The sequence below is a fragment of the Homo sapiens genome, chromosome 4, assembly GCF_000001405.40.
Source record: "Homo sapiens chromosome 4, GRCh38.p14 Primary Assembly".
NCBI lineage: Eukaryota > Metazoa > Chordata > Mammalia > Primates > Hominidae > Homo > Homo sapiens.
Genome location: NC_000004.12, coordinates 139,125,442 through 139,139,695, shown reverse-complemented (window position 1 = coordinate 139,139,695; position 14,254 = coordinate 139,125,442). Strand labels below are relative to the sequence as shown.

The 14,254-nt window shown below is 36.7% G+C and overlaps 1 protein-coding gene across 17 annotated transcripts in view; it reads left to right on the top strand.

Moving 5' to 3' along the window:
• Positions 1-14,254, top strand: part of ELF2 (E74 like ETS transcription factor 2) — a 120,696-nt gene that overhangs the window by 38,220 nt on the left and 68,222 nt on the right. For all 17 annotated transcript variants that reach the window (XM_047449740.1, XM_047449741.1, XM_047449737.1 and 14 more), the window contains 2 exons: positions 199-283; positions 1,829-2,066. In XM_047449740.1, coding sequence (XP_047305696.1) covers positions 1,995-2,066 — 72 coding nt within the window. In that variant the 5' untranslated portion in view covers positions 199-283; positions 1,829-1,994. The remainder of the gene's footprint in view (positions 1-198; positions 284-1,828; positions 2,067-14,254) is intronic.

The following is a 14,254-nucleotide window of genomic DNA, read 5'->3' as shown; positions in this document are numbered from 1 at the left end:
ATTTTAAGTTTGATAAAAACTTCTGATTTCTCAAAAACCTAGAAATAATTTATTATATTCCTTATGTGAATGTGCGACATATGGCTTTGGAAGTGATTTGTTTTATTAAGTATTTACTATCTCAATCACATCTGTTTGAGCATAGTGCTTTTTAATATAATTATATTAATATTATCTTTTTTCCCCTCCCGCTGGCAGTTCCAAAGAACTACTGGTTCAGATTTTAGCTCTTCCCAAGTTGTGAAAATAGTGAAGGATGCTTAGACTACTTAACATACAAACTGTAAGTAAAATTTATTTCTGCTATTATTATATATATTGGGAATAGTACCTTATATGGTGATAGTATGATGGGACTGTGGAATTTTATTATTTTTTCTTCTTAAGATACAAAGACTTTCTGTTCCATTTTATGTTTATAAGATCAAAAGGGAGGCTAATAGTACTGATCAGTAAGATGAAATTTCTGCTTTTTTTCAGGTATTTCATTCTATTCTAGAAGTTTCTGGAAATTCTTTATTATTTTATTTCCATATCTGTATATTGCCAGCAGGCAAACATAATACAAGGGCATAATATTAATGGAATGATTTATGGGAACTATATACTTTCTCTTCAGATATGCTTGATTTTTCTGCATTCTTTTTGACATGAAAAAATTCTGTTAGTAATAAATCTCTGTACTTCCTCTGTATGAAAATTTTTGTATACATGAAATCAAAAAAATTTTTTAGGAGTAATTTAATTCATAAATTCAGATCATATAGGAAGGGGAAAAAATGTGAGAGGTTAAGAAATTACTTGAAACCATTTGCTATATTGCATCTTGAACTAATATCAAAACAATTGAGGAAAGTATGATAGAACTAATATCAAAAAATTGAGGAAAGTATGATAAAATAATATTGAAGGCATTCCAAGTGGTAACTACTTTATTTTTAAACTACTTTATTTGAAAATATAAGCAATTCAAATAAATCTCTCTTACATACAGTTCCTGTATTCAAAGTGTGAATACAAAATGAGATTGCTGCCATAAGCAAAAGACAGTTCTGATTGTTCAGACAAACCAGATGAGGCAAAGAAGAAGAATGAAATATTTAAGGATCAATAATCTTTTGATTTGTTAAATAGGCAAATAGTTTTAAAAGTTTTCTCAGTCTGGCACATTTTATATATTAAATGAATAAGAGATCTTTAACATTTATAGAAACTAACATATTTCAGGAATAAAACAGCATCTTTATAAAGGGAGAAAGTTATAACTTTTTTTTTTTTTTGAGGTGGAATCTCACTCTGTCGCCAGGCTGGAGTGCAGTGGCGCCATCTTGGCTTACTGCAACCTCCACCTCCTGGGTTCAAGTGATTCTCCTGCCTCAGCCTCCCGAGTAGCTGGGACTACAGGCACGCTTCACCATGCCCAGCTAATTTTTGTATTTTTAGTAAAGGTGGGGTTTCACCATGTTGGCCAGGGTGGTCTCGATCTCTTGACCTCGTGATCCGCCTGCCTCGGCCTCCCAAAGTGCTGGAATATACAGGCGTGAGCCACCGCACCTGGCACAGTTATATTTATCTCCTAGAATATGAATATCATAATACTACCTATGTACAATTGCTTGTTAAGAACTTAATTCAGTATGTTCATGAACTTGATTACTAACTCTTAAGAAGCAGAATGTTCATTACTGCCCTCTTTTGACACGGGGATGTTAAGCCTGTCTTCTTTTTCTTAGTTAAGTGTTAAAATTAGATTGCACAATAAGTTATGCTTTATTTATGTCCTTCCTGTAATTTTTAAAATAACTTTTCAAATTCTTCCTCTTTTTAGGCTTTCTGGTTAATCATCTTTAGAAGACTGGATTTCTGGATATCTACTCCACTCCATCTCTATTGACTTTTAAAACATGATAATGCAAACCTATAACACTGGCAACCATCAGTGAACCTTTAATTTCATTGATTAATAGCGTTTGAAGCTTCCTCAGGGAATAACAATGACATCAGCAGTGGTTGACAGTGGAGGTACTATTTTGGAGCTTTCCAGCAATGGAGTAGAAAATCAAGAGGTTAGGCATTCAATGAATTACATTTCTATTTTCTTCATAGAAATTTGTGCATGAACTAATTTTGAAATTAATAGGAAACATATTTGAGAGTAAAAATGTACAAAGCATGAAATTATACATGTACATGTCGTGTATCCTTATATAATTTAGGTAATAGAAGGTCAAGGAAGGTATTGCAGGGCTTACGTGAATTGTTGGAACATACATATATTAGAATGAACTTGGAGGGAGGAAAGGAATGGAAAGAACACTATAGTATTAGTTGAGAGTTAAATTTAAATCCCTCATAAAACCCATTGTCTTGGATTATACTGTAGGTATATACTATGCCCAAATACCTAAATTAGATTCATTCTAAGTTAGAATTTTGTATGTGCTTTACTTATTATCTTTGTTTCTTGATTATTTTATATCTAAATCGGTGTGGAGATCCATTGTATTTTAATCTCATTTAAACACGAATTTAGATAATTAGTAAGTCAGAAAATGAATTCAGATTTTGAAATTTTATGCGTGTAGGATTTTGAATCATTAGCATATTTGGTTATTTTGTTATTGATAACATTGAAGAATTAGATGAGAATAAAAAAATAACAGTAGTAGAAATACCGGGGCTTCTAGGTCCTGGCTTCTGTTCTTAGCATTCAGTAAAGAGTGAATATTGGGGCCAGTCGCGGTGGCTCACGCCTGTAATCCCAGCACTTTGGGAGGCCCAGGTGGGCGGATCACCAGGTCAGGCATTTGAGACCATCCTGGCTAACATGGCGAAACCCTGCCTCTACTAAAAATACAAAAAAATTAGCCAGGCGTGGTGGCGGGCGCCTGTAGTCCCAGCTACTCGGGAGGCTGAGGCAGGAGAATGGTGTGAACCCGAGAGGCGGAGCTTGCAGTGAGCCGAGATCATGCCACTGCACTCCAGCCTGTGCGACAGAGCGAGACTCCGTCTCAAAAAAAAAAAAAAAAAAGAGTGAATATTGGAAGGGATCTAATTATAATTCAATAGCCGTCATAATAATGGACAATATTTGTTCAGAGCTGAGGTGGGAAAATGGAGAGTTTTCTATATTAAAAAAAAATCTGTTTTCTCTATTTTCTTTGAAAGATGCTGCATTACTCGTGCTTCCTACCAGTATAACGGTATAATGGCATGTTTGAGAAACAAGTTAGGACATCAGTCTGTGCGTTCTGTAGTCTGGATTCTTTTTTTTTTGCTCCTTGGTGTCTGCTCATTTTTCTAAGATCCGGATCAGCTATGGGCAAATTCACTGGGAATAGGATAAAGTGAAGGTCTTCTTTTTCTTTTCTCAGTGGACTCAAAAACTCTTAAGTGTTTCTTTTGTATTCAAATCCAAAACAGGTACAAAGTCCATTAAGAGAAGCCACAGCTGCAGAACATACTTTCTTCCCATCGTCAATGTCTTATTTCTTCCCTCAAGATTCACTTTCTGTATGATCACCTCCAGGAATGACTCACCGAAGACATTAGGGATTGGGGAACTGCCATCCCCTCCTAGATTACCCAGACCAAATACTGCTTTTTCCTCAAATGCTTTCTCCTGCCATATAGTTTTGCTCTGTTTTAACCTTATGAGGGGAGCCACCAAAAACAATAGGCAGAATATCTTTACCTTGTGTGGATTAAAAGGTATCATTAATATGGGGAAAATGAGGACAACAGTTTGTTTCTGGAATACTCCTTATATTTTTCTTCCTTTACATGGAACTTCAGTGTTCACGGCCAGGAGAACTTATTATCGTGGAAGAAAGAATCTCATAAATGAAATGACTTTACCAAATTATTATTGACTAGTGATTTATGTGGTAGTCTTATAGGGTGATCACATTTTATAAAGGAAGTCAGAAGAAGACTATATCCTTAATGAGCATGTCAGGTAGTGTGGCCCCAGAGTAGGGCAAACTATTCTGGGGAGTTTTTTGTTTATGCTACGTAAGTGGCCACTTATTTTCATTCATTTTTTCCTTTGACTAATATTAATTCACCACTTAACTATCTATGAAGTACTTTTCTAGGCACTGGGGATAAATATTTCAGAAATGTTATGAAAAATAATTCAGGACTGGAGCTGGATAGAGAAGTTAGTAGGGAGTACTTCAATTAGGGCAGCCAAGGAAGGCTTCACCAAAGTGGTGACATTTTAGTTTAGAGCTAAATGAGGTGAGGGGTGGGGCAATATAAATATCTAGGGGAAGAGAATTGCAGGAAGAGAGAAAAGCCACTAATACTGGAAACATGGTTTGATTTTACAAAGGGAGATTTGAGAATGGTGGTATTTGAAAGATAGATTTTTGTCTTAGGAGCAGTTTTTCAGGAATGTTTCATTCATATATACACACACACACACACACACACACACACACACACACACACACATATATATAGTAGTATATGTATAATAGAATATATATTCTAAAATGTAGAATGGGATGAAAACTGACCTGTCAAAATTTTGTAATCAGAGTCCCAGAACCTGAAGAAAAAATAAATATTTAAAAAGTGGTAGGTATCTGGAGTTTTATTATCACTATTTTTAGGCTTTCTTTGTAATGTTTCCCCTGATTATAAAAGTAATACATTTAATACAATTAGGATTATTCTATTTCTGAAAATGATGTCCCAAAATAGTAAACTATAATGAGTATAGTTGCAAAAATTATTTTTCAAAATAGTAATAAATATATAAAATGTAGTCATATATTTAAAAATTCAAAGTACCAAATATGACTTAAATATATAGGAATAATTTAATACTAAGAGAAGTATTGGGCCTAGTGTGGTGGCTCATACCTGTAACCCCTACACTTTGGGAGGCCAAGGCAGGATGATCACTTGAGGACAGGAGTTCAAGACCAGCCTAAGCCACCCAGGAGACCCCCATTTCTATATTGGGGAGACTAAGGCAGGTGGATTTCTTGAGCTCAGGACTTCAAGACCAGCCTGGGCACCATGGCAAAACCCTGTCTCAAAATAAAATAAAATAAAATAAAATAAATAAAATAAAATAAAATAAAATAAAATAAAATAAATATAACATAAAATAAAATAACATAAAATAAAACAATACAATACAATACAATACAATAAATACTAGCCAGGCATGGTAGCATGCACCTGGAGTCCCAGGTACTTGGGAGGCTGAAGTGGGAGGATTGCTTGAGCCTGGGAGGTAGAGGTTGCAGTGAGCCATAATGGTGCCACTGCACTCCAGCCTGGGTGACAAACAAACAAAAACAATGAAAACACAAAAAAGCAAAACCAAAAAACTAACAGTCAAATCTAGCAGTGTATAAATGGTAGAATGCCATAATCAATTTTTTTTTTAATCCCAGGAAGGTAAGTTTAATGAATCAAGTGATTCACCATATCAACAGGAGTGAAAGAGAAAAATTAGGTGATTATATCAGCAGTTACAGAAAACCCATTTGCCAAAAATTAACACCTATTCATTATACAAACTTTCTAAACTAGCAATAAAGGGCAATTTTCTCAGCCTGGTAAAGTGAATCTGTGAAAAACCCACAGCCAACATCATACTTAATGGTTGAGAGCAAGGCAAGGTTGTCTGCCCTAACCACCTTTATTCAACATTGCACTGGCAACATTACTACAAGGCAGCAAGAAAAATAAAAGACTCACACGTTTGAGAAGTAGTAAAACTGTCTTTATTTCTAGATGATATAACTGTGTACCTAGAAATGCCTAAGAAATCCACACTATTAGAACTAATAAATTTAGAATAGCCAGAGGATATGAGGTGAGTGTATACAAAGCAATTATTTATATATACTAGCAATATACAATTGGAAACTGAAGCAGTACTATTCAATAGAGCATCAAAAAGCAGGTGGGTGCACTGGCACGTGCATATAGTCCCAGCTACACTAAAGGCTGAGGTGAGGGGCTTACTTGAGCCCAGGAGTTCAGGTGCAGCTCAGGCAACATAGTGAACCCCGTATCTTAAAAAAAAAAAAAAAGGTAGGGAAAAGTTTAATGAAATATATAAAAGACTTCTATACAGTGAACTATAAATACTGTTGAGACACATTAAAGACCTGAATAGAGAGATGTACCAAGTTTATGGATTGGAAGACATACTGTGGTTAAGAACAGAGTTGAAGGCCTTACACATCTGATTTAAAGACTTTCTATAAAGCTGCACTAATTGAGGCAGTGTGGTTATTGGTGTGCCAACAGACATGTAGATCAATGGAACGTTAAATACATGTAAAAATGCTCAATATTATTAACTATCAGGGAAATGTAAATTAAAACCACAAGGCGATCCTACTAAATAAACAGAATGAGGAAAATTGATGAGAGTGATACCACATGTTGGAAAGGATAAGGAGCAGCTAAACCTCTCCTTATCCTTATTGCTTATAAGAATGTAGGCTGGGCGTGGTGGCTCACGCCTGTAATCCCAGCATTTTCGGAAGCCGAGGCGGGCGGATCACGAGGTCAGGAGATTGAGAACATCCTGGCTATCGCAGTGAAACCCCGTCTGTACTAAAAATACAAAAAATTAGCCGGGCATGGTGGCGGGTGCCTGTAGTCCCAGCTACTTGGGAGGGTGAGGCAGGAGTGGAGTGAACCCGGGAGGCTGAGCTTGCAGTGAGCCGAGATTGGGGGAGGCGGAGCTTACAGTGAGCAGAGATTGCGCCACTGCACTCCAGCCTGGGGACAGAGCAAGACTTCGTCTCTCCCTCACCCCCACCAAAAAAAAAAATTACATATTTTATATATATATATATATATATATATATATATATGTAAAGTAATATAACCACTTTGGAAAATTGAGTACTTGCAAAATTAAATGTACAATTGCCATGTGATCTGATAATTTGACTCTTAGGTAAATATGTAATGGAACGGAAAGGAAGGGGAGGAAAGACCAGGATGTTCATAGGAGCATTACCGCCATATGAAGACAGGCAAATGGATAAGCAATTGACATATCTACAATAGAATTTTCAGCAATGAAGGGAGATGAAGTATTGATACATGCAGCAATATGTATAAATATCAGCAGTAAAGAAGTTGGACACAAAAGAGAACTGTTGATTTCAATGTAAAATTTGAGAAAAGGCAGATCTATAGGGATAGAAATCTATAGGGATAGATCAGTGGTTGCCTAGGTCTGCGTGTATGTGTGTGTGTGCATGCACATGTGGTGGGGATTGACGGGTAAAGTTAGGTATGAGGGAACTTTCTGGGGTGATGGAAATGTTCTATTTCTTGACTGTGATGGTAGTTACAGGGATGTTTACATTTGTGAAAATTCATAAGAAAAATAAAAAGATTTTCATCTGGTGAGGCATATTCTTCCACAAGTTTTATATTTTGCAAATGGATTCCTTTTTAAAGTTGTCAAATTACCTGTTACTGGCTTTATTTATTTTATTTTTTTGGTTTTTGTACCAATTGTTATTTTTAAATGAAAAAAGTATTTTGATATTTCTTAATTACCAGGATCATTGTAAAAAACAATAAACTCAGACATACTGAGAAAATGAAAATCCATCTTTTGTCTGCTCACCTCTCTTTCACCAGGTTAATAATTTGAGGTGTATTTTTTCCAGACTTTTAAATGTATATGCTAAATAAATATATAAATGGAATCAGACAACAGTACTATTCTATGGCTCATTTTCCTCCTCCTTCCACCCCCTCTTGTTTGTATCATGGATATTTTTCCATGCCAGTATATAGCTCTAACTGCCTTAATTGCTTAATTGATATTGAATAGTCTCTCATTGTATGGATGTTTGTTAGTATGGGTGTATGTTTTCTATCTCTTTTTTTTTTTTTTGGCATTATGAACATCTAGCTTAGGGGACTTGTCTTAAAACTGGGTTTGCATAGCAAGTGCACCATTATTTATTCTAGTGACGTATTTATTTGGAGTGGTTTCTGGGGTTAAACCATGAGAGGTAGGGGAGATGAGTCCTCCCTAAAGCCTGCCAAACGGCATTTTTCAGTTTTGATAAGATTTTTTAAGGTAACCTTACTCTACCTCGAAAGAGAAAATGTGGAACAAATTTATGTACTTTTCACATACTCCTGAATTTTATTATCTTTCTATATATTCCTAAAGTACATTGAGAAAAGGATTACAATACCACTGCTTTCAGCCATTTCATTGTACTTGTCTTTGGAAACTTCTGATACCTGGAGAGCAATGACTGAGTGCATATAAAAGCACTTTCTAGGTAAACACTGCAGCATTGCACTTGTCTTGCCTCTTTAAACTAAGAATCTCTCTCCTTAAATGGAAGTTTTTGAGATCACTGTTAATACTTACAGTAGGGTTGCCAGATAAAATACAGGATGTCTAGTTAAATTTGAATTTCAGATAAACAACAAATGACTTTTTACTTTAAGTATGTCCCAAATATTGCATGGGACATTCTTACAGTTATTATTCAGTGTTTCTCTGAAATTCAAATTTAACTGGGTATCCTGTATTTTTTTATTTGCACCCTAGCTTGTAGGGAATTAGACAGCTTGTGCCAAGACCCATGGTGACTTGAGCAAAGTAATGCTAAGTAAAATAACCTTGTACATGTGTTATTTTTTGCTATTTTATTTTTAAGCAAAGACTCCTGGTTTCTTCTCTTCCATCCCCTTTCTCCCATAAAAATAGCTACTCTTCTACACAGTACAAGGCAATAATTATCTGAATAGCTGCATGCAGTGTCCTCTGGTCTGTATCATATGGCAGAAAAAAGGCTCATGAAGTTACTTGCCTCCATAGATGAGCAAATGTTGAACTTATAAATACCTGTTAATATTAAAATTTGTTGACTTTATTATTCTTTGAGCCAAGCTACAAATATCTGTACTTAAATGCCACTTTAGTTTATATGAAGCATGTGTTATTAAGGAGGATATAAAAATTGACTACGATATAACTCTTGCTCTCAAATATCCTACTAACCAGTCAAGGAGTTGTATATGTAAACACATAATTATAATATGGGACAATGAACAGTGGTAATATTAGGCAAACAACTTGTTCTATAAATACGTAGGATAGAAAAATTAATTCAGATTGGAGGATTATAGAAGATTCCCTGGAACTTGATGAAAAGCCTTCAGTAGATGAAAAGGATTTGGACAGATGTGAAGGCTACAAAATAACATGAGCAAAAGTCTTGGAAATGTTCACATTTAGGAATTAGAAGCAATGCCACTAATCAATTTATGTTAAGTAATGTAGGGAAATAAGATATAAAGGTGGTATATTAGTTTCTTGGGGTTGCTGTAACAAAGTACTGTAAACTAGGTTGCTTAAACAACAGAAATTTATTGTGTTACAGTTCTGGAGGTCAGAATTTAGGAATCAAGGTGTTGATAGATTTTTTTTTTATTGTTGTTTGTTTTTTTTTGAGGGCTAGGAGGGAGAATCTCTTTAATGCCTCTCTCCTAGCTTCTGGTAGCCTCAGGCACTCCTTGGCTTGTAGATGGTGTTCTCCCTGTGTCTTTCCATGGTTTTCCTTCCCATTTGTGTGTCTCAGAGTCCAAATTTCCCTTTTGTAAGGACATAGTCAGATTGGGTGAGGGCTCATCTTAATTATCTTGTCTTAACTTGATCATCTGCAAAGACCTTATTTCCAGATAAGGTCACATTCACAGAAGCTAGGGGTTAAAACTTCATCTTTTTGGGGGACACAATTCAGCCCATGACAGGTGGGTTGGGGTTATATTTCAGAGTGTTAAAGCCATTGTTTAATTTGTTAAACTTTCCTTTTAGACCAAAGGGGAGTCATTAATGCTTTTTATGCAAGGAAGTAACACAAACAGTTCTGATTGTGATGTGAAAAGGTGCCCTCTAAAGTTGAGGGCAAATAGTAGATTTGAAGACTATTTCTATTGTTAAAATATAATATCAGCTGTCACTAATTGAATAACTTACTCTGTGCTTTGTACTTATACTATGCTAAGAACTTTGTGCATATAAAGTCATGGGACTTTAAAGGACAGAAATATTAAAATCTCTTTTTTAAATATGAAGAAACCAAGATTTAAAGAACACAGAATGGGGAAACAGGGACAGATGTAGATAATTTGTGCCATTTAGACATGTTAAGCTTGAAGTGTTGACTGAGTATTCCTGTAGTGATGTTAAAGTTGGTAGTTTAAAATTTGGTTTTGGAATTCAGAAGATGAGTCAGAGTAGAGGACAAATACTTAGTCATTATCAGCATAGAGGTGCTATTTGAAACCATAAGAATGGGTGGGCTTACTTGAGAAGGTAGTATAGGGCAAAAAGAAAGGAGACACTGAGGATAGAACCTCACTAAGTTGGCTAGACTTGAGTCTATGGAGATGAAAGAAGAGTCAGAGGAGACGCTTGAAAGTAGAGTGGTAGGCCGGGGGTAGTCGCTCATGCCTGTCATCCCAGCACTTTGGGAGGCTGAGGCGGGCGGATCACCTGAGGTCAGGAGTTTGAGACTAGCCTGACCACCATGAAGAAACCCTGTCTCTACTAAAAATACAAAATTAGCTGGACATGGTGGCACATGCCTGTAATCCCAGCTACTCAGGGGGCTGAGGCAGGAGAATCACTTGAACCTGGGAGGCAGAGGTTGCGGTGTGTCAAGATTGCGCCATTGCACTCCAGCCTGGGCAACGAGCGAAACTCCATTTCAAAAAAGAAAGTAGAGTGGTAGAGAAAGTTGGAAGAATGAATTTTTTAAATGAGGGTAATAATAAATGTATGAGTCTGCGGGGAGGCAGTAGAGATTGAAAACTGAAATAGAATTTGGTCGTTATTAACATTTTGAGGCTGGGTATGGTGGCCCATGCTTGTAATGCCAGCACTTTGGGAGGCTGAGGCAAGTGGATTGCTCGAGTCCAGGAGTTCAAGACCAGCCTGGGCAACATGGTGAAACCCTGTCTCTACCAAAAATACACAAATTAGCTGGGAGTGGTGGCACATGCCTGTAGTCCCAGCTACTCAGGAGGCTGAGGTGGGAGGATGGTTTGAGCCTGGGAGGCAGAGGTTGCGGTGAGCCATGATTGTGCCACTGCACTCCAACCTGGGCGACAGAGCTAGACCCTGTCTCAAAAAAAAAAAAAAAGCAAAAAAATATTTTTAGAGAATAGCTTCAGTGAGGTGGTGGAACATAGATTACAAGGAATATATAGATAAGTCAAGGAGTTAGACTATTTTTTTGAGAAATGTATACAAGTATACGTCTCGATCGATCAGTTAAAGTTCAGTTAAAGAACTTCTTTAATTGGACTTGTTGCCTTTTAACTTCAGTTAAAGATCAGTTAAAAGTTCAGTTAAAAGAAATGAGAGTTTAATATTTTTCTTTTTTTTTTTAATTTTTGAGACTTGTTCTCAGTTGCCAGGCTGGAGTGCAAAGGCATGATTATGGCTCACTGCAGCCTTCACCTACTGGGTTCAAGCAATCCTCTTGCCTCAGCCTCCCAAGTAGCTAGGACTATAGGCAAGAGCCACAACGCCCGGCTGATATTTATTTTTTATTTTTTCTAGAGATAGGGTCTCCCTATGTTGCCCAGGCTGGTCTTGAACTCCTGGGCTCAAGCAGTCCTCCTGCCTTGGCCTCCCAAAGTTTTGGGATTACAGGTGTGAGCCGCTGAACCTGGTCTGAATTTTTTTTTTTTTTTTTTTGAGACCGAGTCTCATTCTGTCAGCCAGGCTGGAATGCAGTGGTGTGATCCTGTCTCACTGCAACCTTTGCCTCCCGGGTTCAAGCAATTCTCATGCCTCAGCCTCCCAAGTAGCTGGGATTACAGGCGCATGCAACCATGCCTGGCTAATTTTCGTATTTTTAGTAGGGATGGGGTTTTACTGTATTGGCCAGGTTGGTCTCGAACACCTGACCTCAGGTGATCTGCCCACCTCAGCCTCCAAAAGTGCTGGGATTACAGGCATGAACCCTGAATTTTTTAATGCAAAATGATTTTAGCTTTTTTATGGTCAAAGAGAAGGAATCACTGAAATATTAAAACCCGGCTGGGCGCTGTTTCCAGAGGTGCTATTGTTTTGACTTATGTATTATAATTTCTTTACTTTTCTTTATAGTTTTGCCACCTATGAAAATAGTCCTAAACAATATTTTATTTTGAAAAAATAGTTTACCAAGCTAATTGAGTTAGGAAAGGGCAATATTATCATAGATAGATGAAGGCTTCCAGGAGAAGATAGCTGAATAGTCAGGTTCACTGAGTGTCATGAGCTTGTCTTCAAGTAGTCAGTGAGCAATGCCATGAGTTTTTAGAAATGTAAGGCACATCCTGCTCTGGTATCTGGCAGTGCTACAGTATGGTATGGGCTGGGTATTGCATATTTGTTCAGGAGGTATATGGTCACATGAAGAACGCTGTTCTGTATCTTTTATTTTAAGCCCATGGTAATCTTCCTCCAACACATAGTAGATCAAAGCAGAACACATCTGGGGGGTGAAATGTGTTCTTAGCTGATCCAGGCAGCAGGGCAGGTGGAGTGAGTAGGTACATGAAGGTAAGCCAAATGTCAATAAAAATCTAGAACAGACTGATCTGGACATTCTGTCCTTAGGAACAAGGTCAATGGTTATCGTAGTAATGACAGTTCATCATGCTATCTCAGGAGTCACACTGCTATATTTTGGACTGGTTGCCCTTTAAATCTGGTGCATAGCTAGCATCGTGGAATCTCTCTTCACAGTCTTCCTGAAGATTCCCATTGTTTCTCTCCTATGTTGATCTCTTCTATCCTGTATTTGCAATAGTTCTCTTTTTTAAAAAATTCACTCTCTCTTATTGATGGGATACATTCTCCAGTATCTTCTTGAGAAAGGAAACATGAAAGGTAAATGTTTGAGATCTTTCATGTCTGAGAAGATACCTTTATTCTACTTCTATAAGATGATTTGACTGGGTGAAGAATCCTAGATTGGAAGTAATTTTTCTTCATAATTTTGAAGAAATTGCTCAACTGTCATCTTCCTTCTAGTATGACTGTTGAGAAGACTGAAGTCTGTGTCCTGATTCTTTGTAGTAACCTGTGTTTTCTTTCTAGAAGCTTGTAGAATCTTTTCTGTTCCCAATATTATGATATTTCACAGTGATATGCCTCAATGTATGTGTTCCTTAATTTTTTGTACTAGACACTTGGTGGGTCCTTTCAAATGGGTGGCTTATATCCTTCAGTCTTAGAAAATTTTATTGATTTACTTCTTTCTTGTTGATTTCTTTCCAAACCTTTTTTTTTTTTCCTTTCTATTTCTTGTTTTTTCCTTATGATTTATTTTTTTGGAACTCTGTTATTCAGATAGTGGACCTCCTGGACTGGTTGGTCATCTAATATTGCCATCTTTTCTCTCCTGTTTTCTATTGCTTTATCTTTTTTCCTCTGGTTCCTGGAGATTGCCTCAATTTTATCTTCCAAGCCTGTATTCATTTCAGCTATTGTATCTTTAATTTCCAAAAATTCTTTTACTTGTATTTTAAAATGTTCTTTACTGAATTGTGATCTGTTCTTACTTTATAATATCTTCTCTGTGTGTGGAATATGAATATTTGGCTTTTTGTTCATGACTAAAAGTGATGGACTAAAAAGCTAGTTGGACACTCCATTTTGGGTAGAGTATGATGCTAACAACTGTGCCTATTATGCCTCAAAGATGCTATTGTTGTTCCTCTCTGGAAAGTAACCTGTCTTCTGCTGAGGTGGAGGAGGTCTGGTTGCTTAGCATCATGAAGGAGAGAGAAGGTCTAGGAATCAAAAGTGCATGTAATTGGTGTTGCTTTCTGTAGATTCTCTACACTGTACAGTGTGTTGTTTCTCAGATTTTTTTTTTTTTTTTTTTTTTGCTGCCAGACTGATTTGGCTTTGCTGGGTCTGCTAACCCACTCCATACTCATCCAGACACTTTCAGTCTTCCAGGATTTTGTTGTTCTTACCTCTTCTTGTTTGTTGCTCTCACCTCTTGTCCTTGTGGGTTTAGGTATAAAAGAGTCTTTTACTGTTGTTTTAGTCAGCTTTCATAATTAAGTGAAATTATATGCATGTTTTTAATCTGCCAACTTAATCCTAAAGCACAGATTATTTAAAATGTTTAATCTATGTCTTACCTCTTGAGACTTGAAAGGATTATTAAAGTTAGCCCTTTTCATCTCTTGTTTTGGCTTTTACATTCATATTTATAAT